The sequence below is a fragment of the Homo sapiens genome, chromosome 2 (genome assembly GCF_000001405.40).
Source record: "Homo sapiens chromosome 2, GRCh38.p14 Primary Assembly".
In the NCBI taxonomy this organism is placed as follows: Eukaryota; Metazoa; Chordata; class Mammalia; order Primates; family Hominidae; genus Homo; species Homo sapiens.
In genome coordinates this window covers 129,788,446-129,814,496 of record NC_000002.12, presented here as the reverse complement: position 1 = coordinate 129,814,496, position 26,051 = coordinate 129,788,446, and the positions used below count along the sequence as shown (strand labels likewise).

General features: G+C 47.3%; 1 long non-coding RNA gene across 1 annotated transcript; it reads left to right on the top strand.

The window, feature by feature from the left end:
• Nucleotides 1-7,580: 7,580 nt before the first annotated feature.
• LOC107985945 (uncharacterized) lies at nt 7,581-24,778 on the top strand. The gene is made up of 3 exons (XR_001739711.1): nt 7,581-7,645; nt 8,894-9,098; nt 24,526-24,778. It is a non-coding gene; the product is annotated as an uncharacterized LOC107985945 (long non-coding RNA).
• Nucleotides 24,779-26,051: the final 1,273 nt, after the last annotated feature.

The window sequence follows — 26,051 nt, the reverse complement described above, 5'->3', positions numbered from 1 at the left end:
ATTTACCTATAGCCTGGAAGCCCCCTCTTTGAGTTGTCCTGCCTTTCTAAACCAAACCAATGTATTTCTTAAATGTATTGGATTGATGTGTCATGCCTTCCTAAAATACATAAAACCAAGCTGTACCCCCACCACCCTGGGCACATGTTCTCAGGACCCCCTGAGGGCTGTGATGGGCCATGGTCACTCATATTTGGCTCAGAAATCTCTTCAAATATTTTACAGAGTTTGACTCTTTTCGTCAACAGTTTCAAACTTTCCCTTATCTTCCTGTCTTCTTCAGAGCCCTCCAAACTCTTCCAACCTCTGCCTGCTACCCAGTTCCAAGGCCACTTTTGCATTTTAAGGAATCTTTATGGCAGTATCCCTCTCCTTGGTACCAATTTTCTGTATTAGTCCACTCTTGCACTGCTGTAAAGAAATACCTGGCACTGGATAATTTATAAAGAAAAGAGGTTGAATTGGCTCATGGTCCTGCAGGCTGTGCAGGAAGCGTGGCAGCATCAGCTTCTGGGGAGGCCTCAGGAAACTTACAATCGTGGTGGAAGGTAAATGGGGAGCTGCTACTTCACATGGCTAAAGCAGGAGGAAGACAGAAAGAGAGGGGAGGTGCCACACATTTTCAAATAACCAGATTTCATGAGAACTCAGGACAGTACCAAGGTTGACATCTGTCCCCATGCTCCAATCACCTCCCACTAGGCCCCACCTCCAACACTGGGGATTACAATTCAACATGAGATTTGGGCGGGGACACAGATCCAAACCATATCACTGTCCCTTGCCCAGACCAAGGCATACTTAACTTCCCCTCTCCCTGAGCACCCTATGTTCTGAGAATCCCATTGTTGTGTTGTTGCACTCAGTGTCTGCCCTATGCTGAATGCTGTCCTTTAGAGGGCGACATAGTTTACTACTCACCTCCTAGGCTAGGTACTAGCACATTTTAGGTGCTCAGTAAGTGCTTGTGAAATAACCCATTCAGAAAAAATTGCTACAGCGGATCTGACTGTGATTAGAAGGAAATGTGGTCCCCTCTGCCTATCTTAAGGCGTTTCCTTCCCCTACTACCCACCCCTCCTCTATGTAGGTTGGGCTGTCTCTCCCCATGCTCTGTGTCTGCTGTGTCCAGGACATCTTTGCAGAACTGCAGATGGTCAGGAATGAGGAAACCTCAAGGAGGACATAGTAAGAGATGCAGCTGGAGTGGGAGACAGGGCCCAGGCATGGGAGGCTGTAGGCACCCCCAAAGACCTGAGGGAATCCATGGGCTAAATCCAAGGGCTAAACATGGATGATGCAGTCGAATTTTCATTCTGGAAGCCACAGGAACTGGGATCTGAGGGATGAGAGGAGAGTCAGGTCAGTTTCATTGAGCAGCATGTCCTGGATGGCCAGTGCACTCTAGGTGCCGTGGGGATATCAGGGGGTGAATGGGGATAAGGAGTCTGGGATGGTGAGGGAGATGGACTGGCTAACAATTGGCAGTTGGCAGAGTGGTGGTGAGAGGGCACTGGCAGGTGGGGGGGCGGGGAAGAGGCCTGAGCAGAGGGGAGGTGAGAGGGCACTGGCCTGTGTGTGGGCAGGTGTGGGAGGGGAGGAAGAGGCCTGAGCAAAGGGGAGGGTTGGGCACACCTGCAAGCTTCCAGACTCACTTCCTGTGAGGCTGCACCCAGGATGAACCCGCCTTCCCACTGGGACAATGGGGAGGGAGATTGTATTTCCGTGGGAAGCTGATGGGTTTTAGTTTTCTGAGGGACCAACACTGACCTGACCTCTCATGCTGATGCAAAGAATTCCCCATAAAATGTCTCCATCAAAGGTGGCTTGGTTACCACTTGCAGGGCAGTGTTGCTGAAGGCCCTGTTTGCTCAATTCTCTTTATAATACGTAACACTTACTGGCTTAGTCCCATTTTCTGAAATCCCAGATTGTCCCTTTAAGGATAACTTCTCTAGAAAAACAAGAGCCTTTGCAGACTGCCCCTCTAAGCAATCTGCTTTATCATTTAACAGAATGTCTCTCCTAAGAAAACACCCTGTCAGAGGCAAAGGCCTCAGGTGGGAAGTGTTTTATCTGATGTGGTGGAAACTGATGACTGGTTCTGTTGAGTGTGGCCTGAACAGCATGCTGTTATACAAAGACCAGGGCCTTTGAAACCTGCGTACTTCCTCACATGTGAATCATGGTTTATGCTTCTCCGTGGACTTTGACAACCCAGGAAGGGAAAGTTCTACTGCCATCGTTTCAGATGAGGAAGTGGAGACAGAGAGGGCCACAGACTTGGCTGTATGCCACACAGCTCATTAGTGTTCATAGAAATGGGAAGGAACTGACATCTTCCAATTGCTGTCACCCTCCCAGGTCCTCAGAGCTAACACCCTCTCACAGAAGGGGTGCTTGCGATCCTGATGCATGACCATGCAGGGGTTATGTTATGTTCTCTTTACTGTGCTGACAATAGTGTGTGACTTTAGTTGCTCATTTATTTCTGCCTGTTATTGTTAAAATATTTAAAATAGACACATTAGCATAAACTCCATCAAAACGGTTAACATGAAGTTTTTGGATCTTTAGAGATACAAGGTCCAACTGTTTGGGTAACCCTATTATATGCAGCAGCTTGCAGAATGTTAGGCATGATGACATGCAGTGTGTTTTGGGTGTCACATGAGGAACAGCAGTTGGGCCAGTTTCTGACAGCTGCTCTCACCTTGATAATCTACCCAGAGCCTGGGGACTCAGAAAGCCTACATCCTTACATTCCCAAGGTTGAGTTGGGCTCACAAAGCTCACAGGAGAGCCTGGCATCACAGACTTGCCAATTTAACTGGTGCCCCATGGGGAACGCAATTACCAGACACTCACCGCTATCTGAGTTGTGGATTCCCTCCTTGCAATTGAGTTACAGATGACTTCCAAAGGGTGTGACTGACTTGGTGTTTAATGACATGAAGTCGGAGAGCTGAGGTCCTCACCTGCACATCAGGGCTGAGGTTGCCTGTCAAGCCAGACTCTTGCCAGCTGACAGAGCATCACCTCCTGGAGAAAGGGTATGAATGGCATGGCCAGCATTCATCTGTGTGACTCTCGGATGACACAAACATTTCTATAGCTTCTACTTCTGGAAAAGATAGAGTAATAAGGACCAGATTTACCTCCTGTTTGATAAATGTAAAAATATGGGACACATTATTGAAATAACAGTTGTCCAGCTATTGGGTACCAGGCAATGAAGGGGGAATGATCCATGAGAACAGGGAAGCAGGTGAGTGGAGCCTTGCGCTGGGCCCAGTGCACGACACAGGTGGTAAAAGGAAGAGGCCAGGCAAAGCTCGGTATACTCACTAAGATGAAAAACCAGAGATGAAGTTAGGAAGTCCAAGGCAGCTGGAATTCACAGGAGAGAAGGGTACACAGTGAGAGCTGTGGAGGTCTGCAGAGGATCCTCCCCGACCACTCAGCTATACTGGTCAGAGGATGGGAAAGAGAAAGAGCTACACATAACGTTAGAAGGAGCATTCTCCATAGATCAAACAGGGCTGGGAATAGTGCCTGTTCTCCCCAGCCAGAGTAGAAAACAAATTCAGTGGGCTCTGGTTAGAGTACTTAGAAGGGTTTTCCTTCAGTGAAGGATTAAATTAGCCGTAGGCTAAATGCTGCTCTGATCCCACTTAGCAAAGCATAAAAGCAAGATCAAAAAGATCAAACTCAAAACAAAGTTCAAAGCTATTTACAGGAATATAAAATATACAGCATCTGACAAAGTAAAATTCACAATGCACGGCACTCAATCAAAAGTTACTAGCATGTGAAGAAGAAAAAATGACCCACAATGGGTATGAATATCAATCAACCAACAGTGATCCGGAAATGACAAATGATATAATAGAACTGGTAGACAAGGACATCAAAGCAAGTATTATAGGAATGTTTCATATATTTAGTATAATAGAGGAAGAGGTTGATCATGTTAACTAGATACAAGGAAGATTTAGAAAAGATCCAAAACAAACTTCTCAAGATGAAAGCCACAATGCGTGAGACAAAAATACTTAGGATGGTTTAGACAATTCAGAGAAAATGATTAGAGAAGTTAAAGACAAGGAAAGAAACTATCAAGAAATACAAAACAGAGAAATGAAAAATAGAGAAACAAGAAGACTAAAAAAATAGTAGTGAGCTGTGGGTTAACTTTAAGCAGTTGAATATCCAAATACATGAGTAATTATAGTTGTAGAAGGAGAGGGAGACAGAAAACATATTTTAAGGAATACGGTTTTCTTCGAATTTTCCAAATTTGTTAAAAATTATATCCCATAGACTCGAGAAGCTCAACAAACCCGAAGCATAAGAAATATAAAGAAAATAGCACCAAGACACATCATAATCAAGTTGCTCAAATCCAGTGATAAGGGAAAATCTTAAAAGTAGTCAGATACACAAGAAACATTAGGTACAAAGGAACAGATATAAGGATGACAGCAAATTTCTCATTAAAAACAATGCAATGAGAAGACAACAGAACAACATCTTTAAAGTGCTGAAAGAAAACATTTACCTAGAGAAAATATCTTTCACTTAATGAAATAAAGACCTTCCTCCCCCTAACACACAAAAACGGAAAGAACTGATGAGCCTCAGACCTGCATTACAAGAAATGTGAAGGAAGGTCCTTTAGGCAGATGGAAAGTGACACCAGATGGAAATGTGTCTACACAAAGGAATGAAAAGCAATAGAAATGTTATTTAAAAGAGAGAATCAACTTTTTAAAACAAAATAACAGTGCATTGGGGATTTGTAAAATATGGACAGGTAAACTGTGAGACACTAGCACAAATGCAGGAGAGAAAACACAGTATATTGTTATAAGGGTCATAGACAGGGCAAGCATTCCTCACCCAAGAGTCTGAAATCCAAAATGCTCTAAAAAAATCCAGAACTTTTGGAATGCTGCCATGATGCTCAAAGGAAATGCTCATTGAAGAATTTTTGATTTCAAATTTTCAGGCTAGGGATGCTCAACCAGTAAGTATAATATTTCAAAATATTCAAAAATCTGAAAAAAGCTGAAATCTGAAACACCTCTGGTCTCAAGATTTTGGATAAGGGATACCCGACCTGTGTTGCAGTTGAGGTGACATAATATCTCTTTAGTGTATAGACTGTGAAAAGAAGTATAGTGTAAGCCCTAACACAACCACTGAAATAAGACAACAGTTGTAGCTGATAATCCAATAAAAGAAATAATGTGAAAATGTAAGAAATCCTTAGTTAATCAAAAATGCCAAAAAAGAAACAGAAAACAAGTGACAGATTGGATTAAGATAAAACAAATGACAAGACACTAGCTTTAAACCTAACCAAATCAATAATTGTATTAAATGAAACAAACCTAAACTATAGCCCAATTAAAGGTTAGAGATTGCTTCAATTGGATTAAAAAGCAAGTGCCAACCACACAAGTGTGCACATATGCAACACGCAACATTGGATCAGAGGTGAAAGAATGGAACACACTTCACACCAGTGCTATTCAGGAGTCACCATTTTGATACCAAGTAAAGTGGATTTCAGAGCAAAAATGTTACCATGGACAGAGAAGGTCATCAAAAAATATAGTTAGACAATTCAACACTCTTCTCTAAATAATTGTTGAAAATAAGTACACAGGGCCGGGTGCAGTGGCTCACATCTGTAATCCCAGTGTGTTGGGAGGCCAAGGCGGCTATTTTGCTTAAGCCCAGGAGTTCAAGACCGGCCTGGGCAATATGGTGAGACATTGTCTCTAAAAAAAAAAAAAAAATTTCCTGGTGGCACATTCCTGTTGTTTCAGCTATTCGGAAGGCTGAGGAGGGATAATCACTTGCGCCCAGGAGTTTGAGCTTATGGAGCTTTGATTGCACCACTGCACTCCAACCTGGGTGACACACAGAGAAAATAAGTAGATGGAAAATCAGTAAGAATACAGAAACAAAACTGGAAACCAAATGTGATCTAACTCACATTTATAGAACCCTCCTATGTTTAGAAGAATGCACATTTTTTCAAGTGCACATGAAACATTTACCAAGATAAAGTATTCTCTGGGCCACAGAATAAGCTTTAGTAAATGCGAAAGGATTTCTGTCATAGTGAGCCTGTTCTCTGGCCAAAATGGAATTAAATTAGGAATCAGCATTAGAAAGATATCTGGAAAATCCCCAAGTGTTTGGAAATTAAATAATGCACATCTAAATAATTCATGGGTCAAAACAAATCAAAAGGAAGATCAGAAAGAATTTTAAACTGCCCCGTCCGGGAGGGAGGTTGGGGGAAGCCTCCGCCCGGCCAGCCGCCCCGTCCGGGACGTGGGGGGTGCCTCTGACCGGCCGCCCCGTCTGGGAAGTGAGGAGCCCCTCTGCCCAGCCACCACCCCGTCTGGGAGGTGTACCCAACAGCTCATTGAGAACGGGCCATGATGACGATGGCGGTTTTGTCGAATAGAAAAGGGGGAAATGTGGGGAAAAGAAAGAGAAATCAGATTGTTGCTGTGTCAGTGTAAAGGGGGGTAGACATAGGAGACTCCATTTTGTTCTGTACTAAGAAAAATTCTTCTGCCTTGGGATGCTGTTAATCTATAACCTTACCCCCAACCCCGTGCTCTCTGAAACATGTGCTGTGGCCACTCAGGGTTAGATGGATTAACGACGGTGCAAGATGTGCTTTGTTAAACAGACGCTTGAAGGCAGCATGCTCGTTAAGAGTCATCACCACTCCCTAATCTCAAGTACCCAGGGACACAAACACTGCGGAAGGCTGCAGGGTCCTCTGCCTAGGAAAACCAGAGACCCTTGTTCACATGTTTATCTGCTGACCTTCCCTCCACTATTGTCCTATGACCCCGCCAAATCCCCCTCTCCGAGAAACACCCAAGAATGATCAATAAATACTAAAAAAAAAAAATAAAATAAAAAAAAGAATTTTAAAGTGAATGAAAATGGAAAGACATTATAAGCTGTAGTAATAAAACAGTAAACATAGATGAATAGATAAACGGAATAGGGTAGAAAATCAAGAGATGAACATACGTGTGAACAACTGATTTTGATGAAGGCATGAAGGAAGGACAGTGGAGATAGTCCCTATAAACAATTATGAAGATGTAAGAAAATAGTCCAAAAATTTCAGCAGACACATCACCAAAGAGGATATGCAGATGGCTGTTACACACATGCAAAGTGCTGAACGTCATTGGTCATTAGAGAAATGCAAATTAAACTCACAGCGTCGTATAAGCCATTAGAGTGCTGAAAATCAGAAGGAAGTGGGAGTGAGCAGGGCAGAGCTGAGCTCCGGGGCAGGCTGAGGACAGGCAGCTCCATGCCGGAGTGGCAGTTGGGCTGTCCCGCACTGGGCCAAGGTGGCTGTGCCTTTACATTCCCGTATGGATGAGGTATTTCTCTGATCTCATTTACTGCATCCTAGCATATTTATTCTGGTTTCCCTCCCAGATCATAGAAGGCATAAGGGTAGGGATTGTGACTTAGGCTCCATCCGGGGGCCCGTGTTTCCAAGGAACAGAACTGAGGATTCGTAATATTTTATTTTATTTTATTTGTAGCTGAAATGCCAGAAGTTGGAAAACACCACAAGAAAGTCATGGTAAGTGGTAACGACTAAAATATCTCACTATCATTTTTGGAATAAAGCACCATATTATAGAACTTGGTTAGTGAATTTCTTTTTCACCTTTTGGTGTCTTTAGCTACAAAACTCCAGGGAGAATCTTTAAATAATGGACATAATCAAAGCAAAAATGTTCTAAACCTCTGTCAGTCCAAATGGTGAAAAACGTGCAGAGATAGCCTGAGGGAGGATTGACAGGTGGATGGAGGCTGAGGAGGCCCCAGGGAGCCCAGGAAGCTTCTTAGTAGGCGATAATCTCCTTCTTGCATGGGGTTGAGAAACCTTCTGGAATGCAGGGTGGGGAAGCTGAAGGAGGCTGGGGTTTGGAATCCGGTCTGAGTCCCAGGCCCCTCTTACAAGCTGGAGACTTGGGGCAGGTCAGCTCGCCTCTCTGTGGTGCCGGTGGGGCTTTCAGCAGGTTAGGAGGAAGCAGCGGAACTGGGCCTGAGACTGGCGACTTGCTGTCTCCCTCACTGTCTCACTCTCTCCATCTCTCTCCCCGTCTCACTCCCACTCACTCCATCTCCCACTCTCTCTCATTCTCTCACCGTCTCACTCCGTGTCTCATTTGCTCTCTCACTCATTCTTTTCTCTCTCCCTCACTCTCCCTCTGCCTCTCTCTCCCCCTCCGTCTTGTGCACACATTGACAAATGGTGCCTGAGTGCTCGCTGATAACCTGCAGCCCATATTGGCAGCTGCCACACTGCTCCCTCAGGGAGGCCTTAAGCTTCGTGGCTTGCATCCTGTGCCTGAGTGAAGCATCTTATCCTGAGTCCCACAGATCTTGTCGTGAGTTTCCTCAAACTGTTGAAGTACAGATTAGTAGGTAACCCGGCTGGGCGCGGTGGCTCATGCTTGTAATCCCAGCACTTTGGGAGGCCAAGGCGGGTGGATCACGAGGTGAAGAGTTTGAGACCAGCCTGGCCAACATAGTGAAACCCCGTCTCTACTAAAAATACAAAAATTAGCTGGGTGTGGTGGCATGCGCCTGTAATCCCAGCTACTTGGGAGGCTGAGGCAGGGGAATTGCTTGAACCCAGGAGGCAGAAGTTGCAGTGAGCGGAGACCATGCCATTGCATTCCAGCCTGGGCAACGAGCAAGATGACGTCTCAGAAAAACAAAACAAAACAAAACAAAACAAACAAAAAAACAACCCACTGACGCTGAAAAAACACTGATTTGTTTCTAAATCATGAAGCTTTGCTGCTTGTCTTGCATGTAGGGCCTTTTAGTCTGTGTGTTGCTGTCCGTGGCCAATGACCGAACCCCTGCATTGGAGCTTGCAGTGAAGCGGACAGCTCCGGCATGAGTCCTCCCCTCCCTTCTCCTCAGCTTTCCCAGAAAATCCTTCCACGTGTGGCCGACTGTGGAGCATGCCTAACTCTGCTGACATGTCTTCCTTGGATGATCGTCACATTTGGTGTCCAGTAAGCCTTCATGAATTTATTTCTGCCTCGGCAGCCTTAATTTTGGTTGACATTACCATGTTGCAAGCCCTGAACCAGGAAGTTGGGGTCTGGTGGCCCCACTGCCAGTTTGGATGAGGGGTACTCCTCTAGGGGAATTCTGAGCTCAGAGGGTCCCCCAGAGTAGTCGAGGGGACCCCAGAGTAGTCAAGGGGCCAGAGGAGGTTTCTCCAAGTGGCCTGAGGGTACCTCCAAGGCAAAGAGGCAGATGCAAATGAGGGAAAGGCATGCTCCACCCAGGAGTTGCAGCTGGAGGGGTGCCCAGGAAGAAGGAAGAAGTGAAATAAGGATGCGCTGGGAGAAGGTGAAGACGCAGTCTCATCATGTATTGAAAGTGTGATTTCACTGTGGAGGCAACGGGAGCCCCTGAAGGAGTAATCTTGTTACTCCTTTAAATATGCACATGCTACAAAATCCAAAAGATGCAGAGGGTATGCTGAACAGTGAGTCTCTCCCATCCTGTTCGTCATCTGGGCCCCTTTCTAGGGGTGCTGCCGTGCCCTGTGTGTTCATGTGGAGCGATTTCACATGAACACAAGCGAACCCTCACACTCCAAGCTGCAGCTTTGTGCTGCTCCCTTGCTGTTCCTTCAGATGCTCATGCCACAGTTGCCCATCCTTCTATTTGTGATGGGCATTTGTGTGCTCCTAGACTTTTTTCGTGTGTGTGTGTGTGTGTGCATGTAGTGTGTATTTTCATGTTATTAAGCATATGTTGCCACGATTACTCTTATAACTCTTATATATGGGAAGACTAGATCTGTCTGTCTGTGGGGCATGGTGGTGGCCAAGGGCTTGGTGTGAGCCTGGCTAGCCAGCCATTCTGGAGGACAGAGCACCCTCAGGAAGCTGGGTTGAGTGCTTGGTGTTCACCAGAGAGTGTTGCAGTCACCTGTTCACCACCCCTACCCACACCCCGCTACCCTGCCCCAGCCTGAGATCCTGCCTAGATCGTCAGCATGCAGTCGAGGGCCTGGCTAAAGTTGATCGTTAATAAATCTGACAAATTAAAGATGACAGGAATAGCCAAATGAATAAATGTTGATAACCGATCACAGAAGGCTTGAGCCAGGATTGCCGTAGCAGACAAAACCCTGTCATGTTGCTCTCAGAAGACAATTATTTATTTAACTTTTAAAATCTTTAGCAATAACTCTAGTCTTCTGTGGGCTAAAAGATCTAGGAAAACAGCCCACTAAATGTCTACATATGAACACAAGGAAGTACTGCCAAGGCGTTCTTTACTTCATTGTCAGTAATAGTGCAAAATCAGAAACAGCATGAGTATCCGTCATTAGGGTAGTGGTTAAGACAAAATCATGGCACATCTGTGCTGTGGAATGCTATGAAGTCATCATAAAAATGAGACTGTTCTATATGTCTACTCATGGAAACAGCTTAAGACTTCTGAAAGCAGCTTTATTAAGATATAACTCACATACTATAAAGTTTAACTATTTAGTCTGCAAGTTAACGGTTTTTAGCATAACTATCACTGCAGCCGATTTTAAAACATTTTCATCACCCCAGAAAGAACTTTTAGCTCATCTTCCTATCTCTCCATATGCCTCCCCCAGTCCTAAGCAATCTCTAGTCTACTTTCTGTCTCTATAGATTTCCCTATTCTGGGCATTTCATTTAAATGCAATTATATAATATGTGGTCTTTTGTGCCTGTTTTTTTCACTTAGCATGTTTTCAAGTTTCATCCATGATGTAGCACGTATCAGTACTACATTGCTTTTTATGGAATGGTATGGCTATACCACACTTCGTTTGTCAATTGATGGGTATTTGGGTTTTTCCCACCTTTTGTCTATTATGAACAATGTTGCTATGAACGTTCACATACAAGTTTTTGTGTGGACATATGTTTTCATTTCTCCTGGGTATATGCCTAGGAGTAGGATTGCTGGGTCATATGGTAAATCTGCATTTAATTGTTTAAGGAACTTCCACACTGTATTTCAAAGTGTCTGCATCATTTTAAATTCCCATTAGCAGTGTATGAGGCTTCAAATTTCTTCGCATCCCTGCCAACACCTGTTATTATCTGACTATGTTATTATGGCCATCCTGGTGGGTGTGCAGTAGTATTTCATTGTGATCTGTATTTGCAATTTCCTGATGACTAATGATGTCAAGCATCTTTTCATGTACTTATTGGTTATTTGCATAATGCTTCCTTTCAATAATGTTCTAAGGGCATAAATTGCTCTTCAGCTTAAACCAGTGAAATCATGGCTCCTTTTCAGAAATAGTCTGAGATTTGTGTTTGATATTTGTTCTGACCCTAGGAGGGCTCCTGTCCAGCTGTCTTATTCACCAGTTCTCTCCTACAAGCCAGCCAGCCTACAGTCTAGGCTGTGTCTTCATTAAATCCATGAATCTCTTCCCAACTGCTTTCACCACAACCTCCACCATTCTTAAGAGTGCTCTTGAACTTGAACTTCTGCACACTCTGTTATAAATGAAATTAATTCCTTTGGGAAGACATAGGAGTTATCTGTTTCAGACCTGCTTCTTCTCTAACTTCTCCCCTCCCCCAGGCCTCCAGGCAAAAATCTCTGAGCCAGGGCTCTGGAGCTGGGGGTGGGGACAATGACAAGCTTCTTTCTGAGGGATACCCCCATTCCAGTAACTGAATGCTTGGCAGGGTGGGGGGCGGTATCCTGGGGTCCTCTCCTGGTGTGGAACCATCACCTCCCGAGTTGGAAGAGTTGCTATCAGGCTGCAGTACTTTCAGTGCACTGTGCCCAAGGTAGAGCCTCAACTCCTGAGTGGAAGCTGGAAGGAAGAGTGGAGTCTCCACTTTTCGATTGCATTCACCCAGCACTTAGCCTCAGCAGCAGGTGGCGGGGGCAGGATGAGAAATGCTGACATCCAACTCCTCGCAGGAAGAAAGCTCTCTGACTGGAAACAGAGGGGAGAGGGAGCCCTGTGTTGTTGGCTGAGGCAGTGTGGAGTGGAGTCTCTGCCTTACCTAGCTGAGAGCGAGGAGGAAAGGAGCTGTCCTGGTTCTAACATCATAGACTCTCCTGAGTATATGCCTAGATATGTGCCTTTCTCACCTATGTTTTATACATTTTCTTGAATAGATGTCTCTTCATTTGCTTTTTGCTACTGTTTTTGGAAATCTTTACTGATTGTGTATTTTAAACCAATTTTCACCATTTTTCCTGGGGACCAGCTCAGTGGAGCCCCTCACGCTGGAAGTTGATCCTCCCGAGATGTCCTTTGATCCTCACTGGCTCATGAGGGCCTGATCTGTGTCCCACGTCTGTGCTGCTCTCTGGCATCAGGCAGTTTCCCAATAGTAGGGGAAAGAATGGGGGTGGGTGACCCTTCCTGAAACTCTGCTAAATATGTGATTTATTTTTCCTTCTATAAAACTTTAGATAGTAAGACAATCCAATTGTAATGATTAAGATCTCACAGATGACTCCCAAAGAATCCAGAGAAGGCAATGGTGTGCTCATGGAACATGGTTCTGGAATTAGAGGAGCTAGTCACATATTGTAGAGGGATTCCAGGAAGAGAGTCTCACTGTATTGCATGTGAGTCACTCAAACCTGGCACATCATCCTGACTTCTGCATCATCCTGACTTCTGCATCATCCATGCATAACTGTCACATCTCTATTTTAAAGCCAAAACAAACAAAGACCCTGCAGTGGCAATGTCATTCCTGAGTCAGAGAGAGATCTGGATCCATGCATCACAAAGGCTTTCTGTGCTCGATGAAAACATTCAAACCTTTTCTGAAATCCAGGAGGTCCTTCCTGCTTACCGTTTTAGCTTCAGTTTTCTTGGTTTTGATTTTGTGTTTCTCTCTGCAGAAGATTGTTTCATTACATTTATTTAGAGCTTTCCCCTGAGAAAATCTCATTCATTCAAAATAGGAGCTTCCCTTTACTGAGTGTGTACAATGTGCCAGGTGCTGGTCTCATTCATTTCCCCAAATATTTATTCATGAATGAATAAATGCTCTTCTGGATACTGAGTGGTACAAGACTGCCATGGTTCCTAGCCTTGGAGTCTACTGGGGATGGCAGAGATTAAGCAAATAATTACTTGAACAAAGTTGTCAAATCATAACTTAAAGTGTAAAGGTGGACATTAGATTACCTTAAATTAGGGATTTCTGTTCAGTGAGGGTTACAGTAGGGAAAACCAATAGGAGTAGGCAAAGCCAGTAAGAATTCCTTCAAAATACAAGGAAAAGAGAGACCGCTGCAATAGGAAAATGAATAAAGGTAATGAATAACAATTCACAGAAATGGAAGCCCAAATGACTAAAAAATCCATGAAAACATGTTCACAATGCAAGTTAAAATTAAAACAAGACAGTGCTTTACATGCAACAGAATAGCAACAATCAGACCAGGGATGGGTTCACATATTGAGAAGGCTGTGGGCTAACGGGAGCCTTGGGGTGTGGACTGCTGCAGCCACCCCAGAGGACTCGGCCCAGTGCAGTGTGTGGGTTGGCCTGGTACCAGCTGCCCAACTCCTCCTAAGCGTCTTGGAGGAACCCTGATCCAGATCCATCAGGAGATACTCGCAGGGGATTGCCTGTCTGTTTATGATACAATGAGGTGTGGGAACTTGGTGTCCACTACAGAGAGCTGGAAATAAAATAAGGTGGAAACAAACTGTGGAATAACACGAGGCAGCACTGAGAAGCAATAATCTAGCTGTAGCTAGAGCAACACGGTACATCTTGAAAACTTATGGTCAAGTGAAAACGAAGAAGAAACAGAATGAGATTTAACATCTGATGTAACTCACATAATTTATGGCATATGTATATCTACCAAACACCACTACATCTTTTACAAAGAGATGTGCATATTTAAGGACGTGCATATTCAATGTATCAAATACGGTGGAGTTGGCTCCCGTGTGCATCTAGGAAATGAGGATGGGAATAAGCAATGAGGGAGTGAGCTGTATGTCTCTATCTCTGTGTCATTTGTACTTATACCTATGTTGACATCAATAGATCTATAAATTTTAATATAGAAGTAGACAGGGCATAGTCTGTATATTGTGGAATATAAACTCATCTCTGCACTCAATGTGCACAAACCACCAAAACAGAATCTTTGAAAACTTACCCCCCAAATGGCACCAATAATGATGTAACTACAATTGTGATGAGGGATCTGCAGGCTGTAAATTAACGTTGGCATCGTACTGGGCTCCTCTGGGGAAACATGTTCTGTGTACCGCTGAGGGCTGTGCACAGAGACGAGTGCTTTTCCTTTTCTTGTCTTCATGCAAACTTGTTGATGGAGACCTGGAATCGTCTGGAACCAGAGGGGCCGGAGTTCACAAGGTGGAAGGAATGGGAGGTGAAGTGAGGGACAAGATGGGAAAAGAATTTGACAGGGTGCTACTACAGGAGGATCTGCAACTCTTTTTACATTTTTTAAAAAAGATAGAAAATGTGAAAATGTGAACACTGCGAGGGAGGTCTCAAAACAATTCTTTGCAGGTCAGCCGGGCGAGAGGCCCCTGCAAACTGCACACCCAGGGAGGACTGCTCAGGCAGCTCCACGTGCTGCTAGCCTTGCGGCAAAGGCGAGCTTGCGATTTCCAGTTACAGAAGGTGCCACTTCATGTTGAGACCCCGGGTGGCCCCAGTCACCCAGTATCCTCCCTTGAGGCCCTTGCAGGCTCCACTCCCATCACTGGGCACTTCCTCTTGCCTCCACCTGGCCAACTCCTCACATTCCTCGGTCCTTGGCTGGGATATCATTCCCAGGACTGTGGGGCAGTGTTTTACTGTGGCCATGGTGACTGTGTAAATGCACTGTGGGTGGTTGCTTGCCCGGCTCTCCCACCAGACCTGACCTCATGGTGTGTGGGAACCCAGCCTTGCTCATTGCCATGCCCCAGCCCCAGGTAGAGTAGCTGCCCCTAAATCTTTGTTGGATGAATGAATGGATGAATGAATGAATGAAAGAATGAGTGAACTGAATCTGCAGTTTCAGGAAAGAGGAGGAGGTGAGCGAGATGAACCCAGAGGACCTGAAGATGCCCCAAGGACACCTCTCCCCTGCTCCATGACCTTTTATGGGACTAGTGTAGACAGCGCAGACAAGATTTCTGACCGGTGCAGGTCTTCCCTCAGCTCCCATGTAGCACCCCCCCGTGGAAGCCTGCCTCTTTTTAATGGGAGGTGTGGATGGAAATGGCCATTTACTGAGCCTCTGGAAGACATCAGGGTGGAAACTACTGTTCCGCACTAGTGGTGCTAAGCCGAGTTTCTGCGGTAAAGTCTCCGTTTGCCTTAGAGGTACCAGAGCTGGGAGCTCCACTTGGATTTGATTCATTTGGGAGCTCATGTGATGTTCCCCAGTGGAAGGAGACCTCCTCACTGCTGTACTGTGGGGCCAGCCATCAGACCAAACGTGCGGCATGCTACGGGCTTCACCTTCTGTCCCACCCCCAAAACTGCTGGCCGCTCCCAGGTTTTCCCCAGACTCTGGGCTTACCTGGAGCATCTCCTAGGATCTGTGTGCAGGGAGGACACAGGGAGTAAGGGAGGTGTTTCCTGCAGCCCAGGCGTCTCCTCACAGCAGGAGTGCACCACCTCCACAGCACTGCTTCCCCTGATGGGCACTGTGGGTGAAGGCGTGCAGGCCGCCCCACTGCCTGGCCTGCAGCTGGCGGTCCCTGCTCAGCAAGATCGAATGTTCTCTTGTGAACTCTGGCCTCCCTCACACTCTTTTGCTCTCATTTTCCCGTTGCCTTTTTTTCCCCAACACCTATATTTAGTTTATGTCTCCTTGCACCGAATGCAGAAGAAGGAAGCCGCAGCTAAACAGAAAATTTGATCCCTGCCCGGGCTCAGTTCCCTCCTGTGGGTAATGGGTCCTCCCACAGGGGTCACGGAGGAGATGGGGCGAGTGCCGCTGTGGCTTCTGCACATCTCTGCTGTTCAGGAATCGGCAGCTCCCACCATTTAGAGGGATTGTAGGGAAGGACACGGGCTTCTGAGGGGGCGTCAGGGGCAAGGCCTCACCCCAGCACCTGGGGAAGCCTCTCTCTGCCGCCCAACCTCCTCCTCCATGAGTCCCCCATGGGCTCACCCAGGAGCGATGTTTCTCCAGTTTCGGGAGCTGCTCCTGCCTTTGGAGGGTGGTGCAGACTGAAGGACGGCCTCAATCCCTCAGTGGGCAAGAGAAAACACTCTGCACACTGGCTCTGGCGTTCACATGCTCATGTACATGCACACGCACACTCACCCACACTAACTCTCAAGAAATCAGCCAGTCATTGCCAACCTCAGTGAAAGCCCTCCCCCACACACGTGTGGATCAGGCCACCCTGAGATTCGAGATCTTTCCAGACACACTGAGATCTGGGCTGTGGTGAAGGGAAGGCCGCAGGTGACAAGAGGAGGAGGGAAGCTCCTGCTGAGCTTACTCACTGAGCCCATCAGTGCAAGGATGGTGCTACTGAGGCCTGCTGTCTCCCCGAGCTGCTGGAGGCCCCGGACTTTCCTCCCACACCTTGTGGCTCCCACGAGGTTCTGCATGCTGTGAATGCCTTGTGGGCAATGCCTGATCACACTCATGGGCTGCCCCTTCGGCCTCACCACAGTGTCTGAGCCACAGGCCTCTTCCCTCAGAACCCATCATCCTCTGCCTCTGTGGCCCTATCCACTTCTGCCCCTGCTGTGTCCCTCCTGAATTCTGGCTGGGCCCTGGACATCCACCAGCACCTTGGTGGCAGCTCCAGCCCTCTCTGGTCCTGGAAACCTGTGGGGCACCCTGGTCCTGCTGGCCGGCACTCTCAGTCTCTCCACAGCAGTTCAGACCCACGTCCTGAGCGTCATGTGATGTATTTGTTTACTGCCTGCCCCCAAGGGTGTGCTCTGGGAAGCTGCAGCCTGTTCTGTGACCCAGGAGGCTTCACAGGGTTCAGGATTTGGACTCTGGGACTAAACCTCATCCCTGCCATCCATGAGGGTCATGCTCAATTCTGAGCATCTGGCTCCTGGCGCCCTCATCCTGACCCAGGGCGGGTGGCAGCTGGTGTGGCAGGCTCGTGACAGGTTGGGTTGTCCACGACGTCCTGCTCTCCCAGAGCTCAGCCACAGGTCTGGCTGTCCATGATCTCCTGCTCTCCCAGAGCTCAGCCACAGGTCTGGCTGTCCATGATCTCCTGCTCTCCCAGAGCTCAGCCACAGGCCGGGATGTCCACAATGCTCTCCCAGCTGCTCAGGCTCAGGTGCCCTCAGTTTCTAGCCATCCTTTGCCTCTCAAAATCCAACTCCCTGGGGCAAAGGACAATCTCGACCCCTTGGTGTGGCCCCATGAGGCCAGGAATCCAGCCCTTTGGTCCTTCAAGGCCTGGGGCTCCAGGGTGACTGGAACTCACACCTGCTGCCTCTCATGGCTGCACAGCAGGCAGCCCCACGGTGATGGTGGGTGTTGGGGCTGGAAAGCCTCTTAATCTTTTCATAAATAAAGCATAGGCACATGGGTACAGCACACAGGTAGATGTACAATACAACTGTCCTATTCAAATGCAATGTGCTGGCGACCAGGAGGACCATGTCTGAAGGGGTTCCTGGGGTGGGGTGTGATGGACACAAGGTGAGCTGCACCTTGGCTAGGGAGCTGTGCTTGCTTAGCCTTCAGGGTTCAGCTCAGAGGCCACATCGCTAGGAGGTGAGGCCAAGCCAGGCTGGTCCTGCACAGCTGCTACTCTTGGCCTCACCCCTGTCTCCTACAGGGGTACTGTCAGGGCCTGCCTGTCATGGTGCTTCTCCTGCCTGGACGGCTGGCTCCCCAGCGTAGGGGCAAGGTTGTGGGCACCCCAGCTGCCCCTGTGACAACCAATCGACCTTCACTGCAGTGGGAAGCTGGCCAGGGTCACCCCCAAGAAGGCCCTGGGGGCCGAGGCTTGGACCTCTCCCCTGTCCTGGCACCAGCTTTCTTCCTCCCAACACAGCTGGGGCCCTCCCTCACATGGGGAGGCCAAATGGCCCGGTGGCTGTGGCCAGGCCCTGCAACTGGGCAGGGCACCCTGATCCAGATGCAGGTGCCGCTTTTACTGTGGTGCGACTGTGCTCATGGTCTGACTTCCCTGGAACAGCATTGGGAGGGTGGTGGGTGTCCCCATGTTGCGTGGACAGTGGCAGGCAGAGGGTGATCCTGGCCCTGCCACACTCCCTGCTCTCACCCACACCTCTGCCCAATCTGTTGGAGGGTGACCAGAAAAGGCCTCACTCAGGGCGGTTTCTTGGGCACCTCCAGGTGCCAGGCACTCATGCACTGTCTCATGTTATCCTGGGACACCTTTCCATCCAGAGAGCTGGGCTCTGCTCAACTACCTATAGAACAGGGTTCCATCCCTGAGACCTCTCAAGGGGTGTAGCTGTGATTTCCCAAACTCCCTAAAGCTTCTTGGCACCTTCCTTCCAAGGAGCATGTAGTCCATTTGGAGAGAGAGGGAAACAAAACAAAATGAAAAGGTGTGTGAGCAGATGTTGGTTCAGAAGTGGGGGCTGGATCAAAGCGGTCATCTTTCCAGAAGAGATGGAAGAATTCAGCCTGTTCTGAGACCTCTAAGGGCTCCTCCTTGCTGTGAGACAGACCCCCAGCCTCCACGTGGCCTGCCGGCATCAGCTCTGGCCCTCACATCCTGGGTACACAGTGCTTGTCCATCAAAGTGGCCTGGAGGCTGGGACGCCATGTATTTTAGCACGTCCTCTGCTCACACTGCTTACTTCCCTGCTTGGAGCATCCTCTTTATCCAGGGAAACTCCTGCTGATCATTCAAAGTCCCAGCCCAGGTGTCTGTTCCTCCTGGAAGTTACCTGGTCTCCCAGGCTAAGTTTCATGGCCCTTTGTCTGCTCTTACTGTCCCCAGTAACTATCCATTTGGCTATCTGGCATCTCCATGAAAAGGCAACTCCAACTCCATAATCCATGACTGTACTCCTGGCACCCCCCAGTCCCATACTTCTTTAATCTTTAATCTTCCCCTTCTCGGTTCGTGACAACTGTATCTTTCCAGTTGTTTGGGCCAAAAGTTTTAGAGTTATCCTTGAGGCCTGTTTTTCTGTCACACTCATGTATGGTCTATCAGCAAATCCAAAAGTTTTACCTTTAAAATGTGACCAGAATGTGACCACTTCTGCTCACCTCCTCAGGCGCTACTTAGACCCATGCCTCCACTGTCTCTCACCTAGACTGGGGTGCCAGCCTCTTCACTGGACTCCTGCCCATCTGCCCCTCCCGTGGTCCAGCCGGGCAGTGCCTGCTCCACGCATTCCCTCTATGACAGCGGTCCCAGCATCCACTGCTCCATAGTTCTCCTGTAGTATCCTCCATCTACACCCACCATCTCCAAAAACTGTACCATGCTGTGCATGATATAAAAGAGAAACAACACCAAACAATTTAAGTAAAATGACAGGCACTTCAATAAGCAAATGCCAAGCGTGGCTCCACTGGACGACACCGTGAGCCGGACGACACCATGAGCCCGACGACACCATGAGTCAGGGGCTGGGTGAATGTGCTGTGGCCACAGACGGAGGCCCATGGTGATGAGAACTTTTTTTACGTGGCATGGCAGTCCCGGAACATTCACTGTGTGTTGGCACTAGGCACACACGCCTCAGTCTGCATGCAAAGCAGAGTTAGGTGTGGGTGGTGGCGCCGGAGGGCAGGTCCTGCCTGTGCCTGGTGGGCATTGGAGGGTCTGGGGTATGGCAACTCTTCGTGGGGTGCGGCTTTCCTGCACACAGCCTTCAACACCACCCCTGGTCCAGCAGCAAAGGGCAGAAATGCTCCCAATCTCTGTGACAACCAAAACAGGCCCCTGCAAATTCCCACCTCTCCCGCAAGGGGCATGACTATCCCCAGAAGGCAGCAGCACATTCCAGAAGATGCCTGAGCCCTAGAGAAGCAAATCTGAGGCCCAGCACGGCCTCCACCCACGGTCTCCTGGTTGTCCCTGATTTGCTAAGCACTCCCTACCCGAAGGTCCTGCATCTGCTGTTCCTTCTGACCATGCTGTCTCCCCAACACCCACCCAAATCCCTCCCACAGGGGTCTGTGCAGATTTGCTTTCTCCACTGAAGACAAGCTTCTCTCTTCTATTGAAAACATTTGGATGTGTGACACCACCCTTCCCCAGTACCCCTTGCCTCCTTCCCTGCTTTAATCGCTCATTAGCAGTGTCACCTTTGGTTAGCTACATGTTGTCTTTGTTTATTCTCTGTCTCGTCTCACTATAACATAAGCTCCATTTGTCTATTGATAGAATAGAATTAGGTATTCAGCGCATGCTCAGTAAATACCTGTGGAATAGATCAATCCACAGAGTGGCATGAATGAAGCCTTCTGTCTCATCTCCTGGTTGGACTGGGTAAGATGAGGGCAGGGCAGGTGGGCCTGTCATGCTCCTGTGCCCAGCGCAGACCTGGCCCCCCAGACAACTGTGGCCTCAGTGATGGATGAGCTGAACTGAGTGTAAAGAAGGCTGGGGGCTGGCTGGGCAGCCTGCCCATGAACAGGCTGAGATCTGGCTTCTGAGCTTTGTTTTTTTTATGGAGAGGCTGACAGGTCTGCCCTGGGGCAGGTTAATAATTGCTGTTCATTTTCAGGAGTGTGACTCGTTGCATCTCTTTGCTTATTTTTCCAGTTTTGAGCAGTTTTACCTCAACAGCCAGTGTTGGGAAAGGACCGAGTATTGCTGTGACTTGTGGTGTCTTGTGTCCTTGGTGGGCTCCCTGGCCAGACTGATGCTGTCTGTTGTCATCTATGCAGGGTTTTTGGCACGGCAGTGCCGGCGGCTGCAGTTGCTCTCCAGAGCCTGACAGCAGACTTCAGAGGCCAGAGAAAAATCTACATAAGCATGAGGCCAGAGCCTCCTCCATATGCATGACTGGTGATCAGGAAGCCTTTCAATAATGCATTAGACCAGGACAGAAAACCAAAAAATGTCCTCTGAAGTAGAAACAGAAAAAGTATAAAGCGAGGCACTAGGAAACAGTGACTACAGAATGAATGTTAAGGACAGCACCCTATTGTGCCTTCTCCCTGTGTCTGGGTAGCACAAGGCTTCCTCTCACAGGGGCAGCTGCGTTCGTCGTCCTGTGGTGGGCTGCTGGGTCAGAAATCCATAGTGTCCCAGCTCCCCACAAAGCAGAGGGCATCTGTTCTTGGCTGATGTGTATGGAATGCAACTCTAGACAGGCCGAGGGCAAATGGCTTCCTCACTCCACTGGTGGTGGAGTCTTTGTTTTTGACTGCTATAATGGAATACCATAGACCGGGTAATTCATAAATAAAAGAAGTTTATTGGGCTCATGGTTCTGGAGGTTGGGAAGTCCAAGAACATGGTGCCAACATCTGGTGAAAACCTTCAGGCTGCATCATAACAGGATGGAAGGATGTTAACACGGAGAGAAAAATTGGGCTGAATTCATCCTTCCTATCAGGAACCCACTCCTGAGATAACTAAACCACCCATGATAAAGGCATTAATCCATTCATCAGGGGCAGACCTAATCACCTCGTAAAGGCCCCTCTTCTTAATACTGTCATTGTGGTAACTAAATTTCAGCATGAGTTTTGGAGGGAACATTCACACCATAGGGCAGAGGACACTGGTTTTTGGGCAAGGTACATAGGACGTAACTCCAAAAAAAACGAGGCCATGGCATCTTTATTTTGCTTGTGATGGAGTTAAACTGCACTATCTCAGGGTCATAGCACTCCTTACCTTCAGTGTCCATTGCATTGGCTGACTTGGAAGGCAGGCTCCCGACCCACTGTTTATGCGGGGATGAGCTAACCAGGCGGAGGGATGCTGCGAAGCCTCAGCAGCTGGCCTTGCCTTGCACTCTGCTCCGCCCCACCACTGACTGCCAGCACCTAGGTGGGCCTCTTCTCCAAGCAAGGTATTGGGGGATGGTTGGGGTCCCCATCCGAGGAGCACCCTGGATGTGTGGCCTGCTGGGCCCAGAAGTTGGTGGCCAGAGATTGGACAGGGTAGGCTTAGAGCTACTTCCTTTCCTCGTTACTAGCACTGTCCCTGGGCCTGTTTTTTCCTTTGTAAAGTGAGAATAAAAACCCTGTAAGTTGCTGTGATGGTGAAGGTGAATGAGAATGTGTAAATTGTTTGAGAGAAGGTGCTGAGAAAACTCTGCAGGACAGAACCTCACCCCTGAATTCTGGCTCTCCAGGACTCCCACGGCCACACCATGGTCCCACTTCCACCTTAGAATGTGAGCAGGGATTGGAGGTACCAGCGAGGGGCAGGAGTGAGGCCTTGCACACGGATGCACACACACTTGCATGAGTGCACATTCAGAAACACATCCAGACCCAGACACAGAAACACTGCATACACTTAAGACTCACATACATCTGCTCTCTAAATAGAAACTCAGGCACACGTAAACGCCTTCCCACAGATGCCCACTCACACTCACACATGCTTGCTCACAGGGAGCGGGGCCCTCTGACATGGGCCTCCATAGCCTGCGGTAGCAGCTTCCTTTCTCCCCGGCTCACGGGTCCTCACCGGGTCTGGCTCCTCCGGCCTATGTCCCCCACCGCCAGTCTTTGTGGGAGTTTCTGGACAGCTGGTCTCTATGCACGAGGTGCTGGGAATGCACCTCATGAGGGTACTTTAATCCTCTAGGATTTCTAAGATTTCTTTTTTCTCTCATGCTTGGTTCTTTTTCTTTTGCCTCAGGATCCTTTGCTTCCATTTCTCTGCACGTCAAGTTTAATTTCTTTATAAACCAGCTCCCTCCACTTTGCACACATAGTCAAAAGTTGCCAGTTTTCAAGGGGGGAGCTGGGGCCATGGTGTGTCCACCGGAGCCCTGGATTTATCACTCGGGGGTGATAAATCCCATATCTTTATGCTGAGTGCAACAAACCATACTCAAATGACGATATACCCCAACACTCCATTTATATGAGGCTCGAGAACAGGCAAAACAGATCTCTGATGGTAGAAACCAGAGCAGTGATCATCCTGTGGGACCAGAGGTGGACTGGGAAGGGCCATGAAGGTCTCCCAGGTGCCTTGATTTGGATCACGGATACATGGATGTGTGCGTTTATCAACAGGAAATATGCATTTAAGATCTATGCCCTTGCCCTGTGTAACATGAAAAACATCAGGCTGGAAATTTCATGTTTAAATGAACTCGGAAAGCTGGCTTCCAGAAGGAACACTGAGGTGAGATCTACAAAGCAAACACCTTCCCTTGTTAATCAGATGCATATTTATTAAAGTGGGGTTCACCTGCAAAGGATGGAGAATTTGCATAATCTCCTCCAGATGATTTCTCTCGGTGAATTTTGAAAAGGGCACATGTTGGTGGAGTGGGCTGGAAGAGAACTTCGTTTTCATCATGTAGAAACAGGTGAGGATGCCGAGGTTTGATGCAGGGGCTGCCTGAGGCTTGGTCTCTTGATCCTCCAGGACTACTCTGAGCTGAAGTTGGAGAACCCAGGGCAACCAGCCTTGCTCTGTGTCCTGCCCTTCCTGCAACTTGCTGGACCTCACAGCTGCAAATGGGAGCCTTGTCTCATTCTCTGTGAGTCTTTAGGATAATGGTATATTAATAATAATAGCAATAATAATGTTAGTCTAGGTCACCCAATAGTAAGTGAAAGCATTCCATTGCAGCATAAACTATAAAGAAGTATTTATGGCAAGCATTCAGGGGTACTTGGTGGATCCCAGGCAGGGACCTGGGCCTCATACGGGTACTTTAATCCTCTAGGATTTCTAAGATTTCTTTTTTCTCTCATGCTTGGTTCTTTCTCTTTTGCCTCAGGATCCTTTGCTTCCATTTCTCTGCACGTCAAGTTTAATTTCTTTATAAAACAGCTTCCTCCACTTTGCACACATAGCCAAAAGTTGCCAGTTTTCAAGGGGGAACTGGGGCCATGGTGTGTCCACTGGAGCCCTGGAAAGCCAGAACTCGGAGGTGAGGTTCTATCTTGCAGAGTTTTATAAACACCTTCTCTGAAACAATGTACACAATTTCTCATTCACCCTCACAGCAAGAAGGTGAATTTAGTTTCACTTTATTCTCACTTAACAGAGGAGGAAAGAGGCCCAGGAACAGCACTAGTAGCCTCAGCTCCAACTTCACTTCTCTATAGTTCAAATTTCGGTCCCGTGTCTCCATGCCTGGTCTAATCAAGTATAGGAAGGGACAATGTGGTCCCAAGGCAGATAATCCAATGGTTATCAGTAATATTATCCATATTTATGATAGTAATAGGTGCCATTTACTGGGTTCATGCAATGAATTAAATGCTTTTGTGTATTATCTGATTTAATTTTCACAACAAATTAACAAGGCGCATATTATCCTTATTTTGCAGATGTGGAAGCTGGAGATGTCTGAGGTGAAGTAATTTGCACATTGTCCTGATTGGTAGGTAGCAAGACTTTAACTTGAGCCCACATCTGCCTGCCCACAAAGCCCTTGTTTGCTCCAGAGACAATACCTTGTGTTTTCATGTCTAGCTTGTGAAGGCCTAATTTTTCTAAGGTTAAAAATCATGACTCTGAACAAATTAACAAGCAAAAGACAACTTCATTAAAAAGTGGGCAAAGGCTGGGCATGGTGGCTCACGCCTGTAATCCCAGCACTTTGGGAGGCCGAAGCAGGCAGATCATGAGGTCAGGAGATCGAGGCCATCCTGGCCAACATGGTGAAACGCTGTCTCTACTAAAAATACAAAAATTAGCTGGGCGTGGTGGCACGTGACTGTAATCCCAGCTATTCGGGAGGCTGAGGCAGGAGAATCACTTGAACCAGGGAGTCAGAGGTTGCAGTGAGCTGAGATAGCGCCACTGCACTCCAGCCCAGTGACAGAGTGAGACCCCATCTCAAAAAAAAAACAAAAAACAAAAAACAAAAAACAAAACAAAAAAAGGGCAAAGCAGGGGAATCAAGCAAGAGAAAGAAATAAAGGGCATCCACATAGGAAGAGGGGAAGTCAATCTATCCCTGTTTGCAGACCACATGATACTATATCTAGAAAACCTCATAGTCTCAGCCCAAAACCTTCTTAAGCTGATAAACAGCTTCAGCAAAGTCTCAGGATAAAAAATCAATGTGCAAAAATCACTAGCATTCCTATACATCAAAAATAGTAAAGCCAAATCAGGAACGTAGTCCCATTCACAACTGCCACAAAAAGAATAAAATACCTAGGAATACAGCTAACCAGGGAGGTGAAAGATCTCTACAAGGAGAACTATAAACCACTGCTCAAAGAAATCAGAGATGACACAGACAAATGGAAAAACATTCCATGCTCACGGATAGGAAGAATCAATATCATGAAAATGGCCATACTGCCCAAGGTAATTTATAGATTCAATGCTATTTCTATTAAACTACCACTGATCTTCTTCACAACTAGAAAAAAACCATTTTTAAAATTCATATGGAACCAATAAAGAGCTCAAATAGCCAAAGCAATCCTAAGCAAAAAGAACAAAGCTGGAGGCATCATGCTACCTGACTTCAAACTGTACTCCATGGCTACAGTAACCAAAACAGCATGATGCTGGTACAAAAAGAGACACATAGATCAGCGGAACAGAATAAAGAACCTAGAAATAAGACCACACACCGACAACTATCTGATTTTCTACAAAGTTGACAAAAACAAACAATGGGGAAATGATTCCTTATTCAATAGATCGTGTTGGGATAACTGGCTAGCCATATGCATAAGATTGAAACTGAATCCTTTCTTTCTACTGCAAACAAAAACTAACTCAAGGTGGCTTAAAGACTTCAATGTAAAACTCAAAACTATAAAAACCCTGGAAGACAACCTAGGCCATACCATTTAGGACATAGGTACAGGCAAAGATTTCATGACAAAGATGC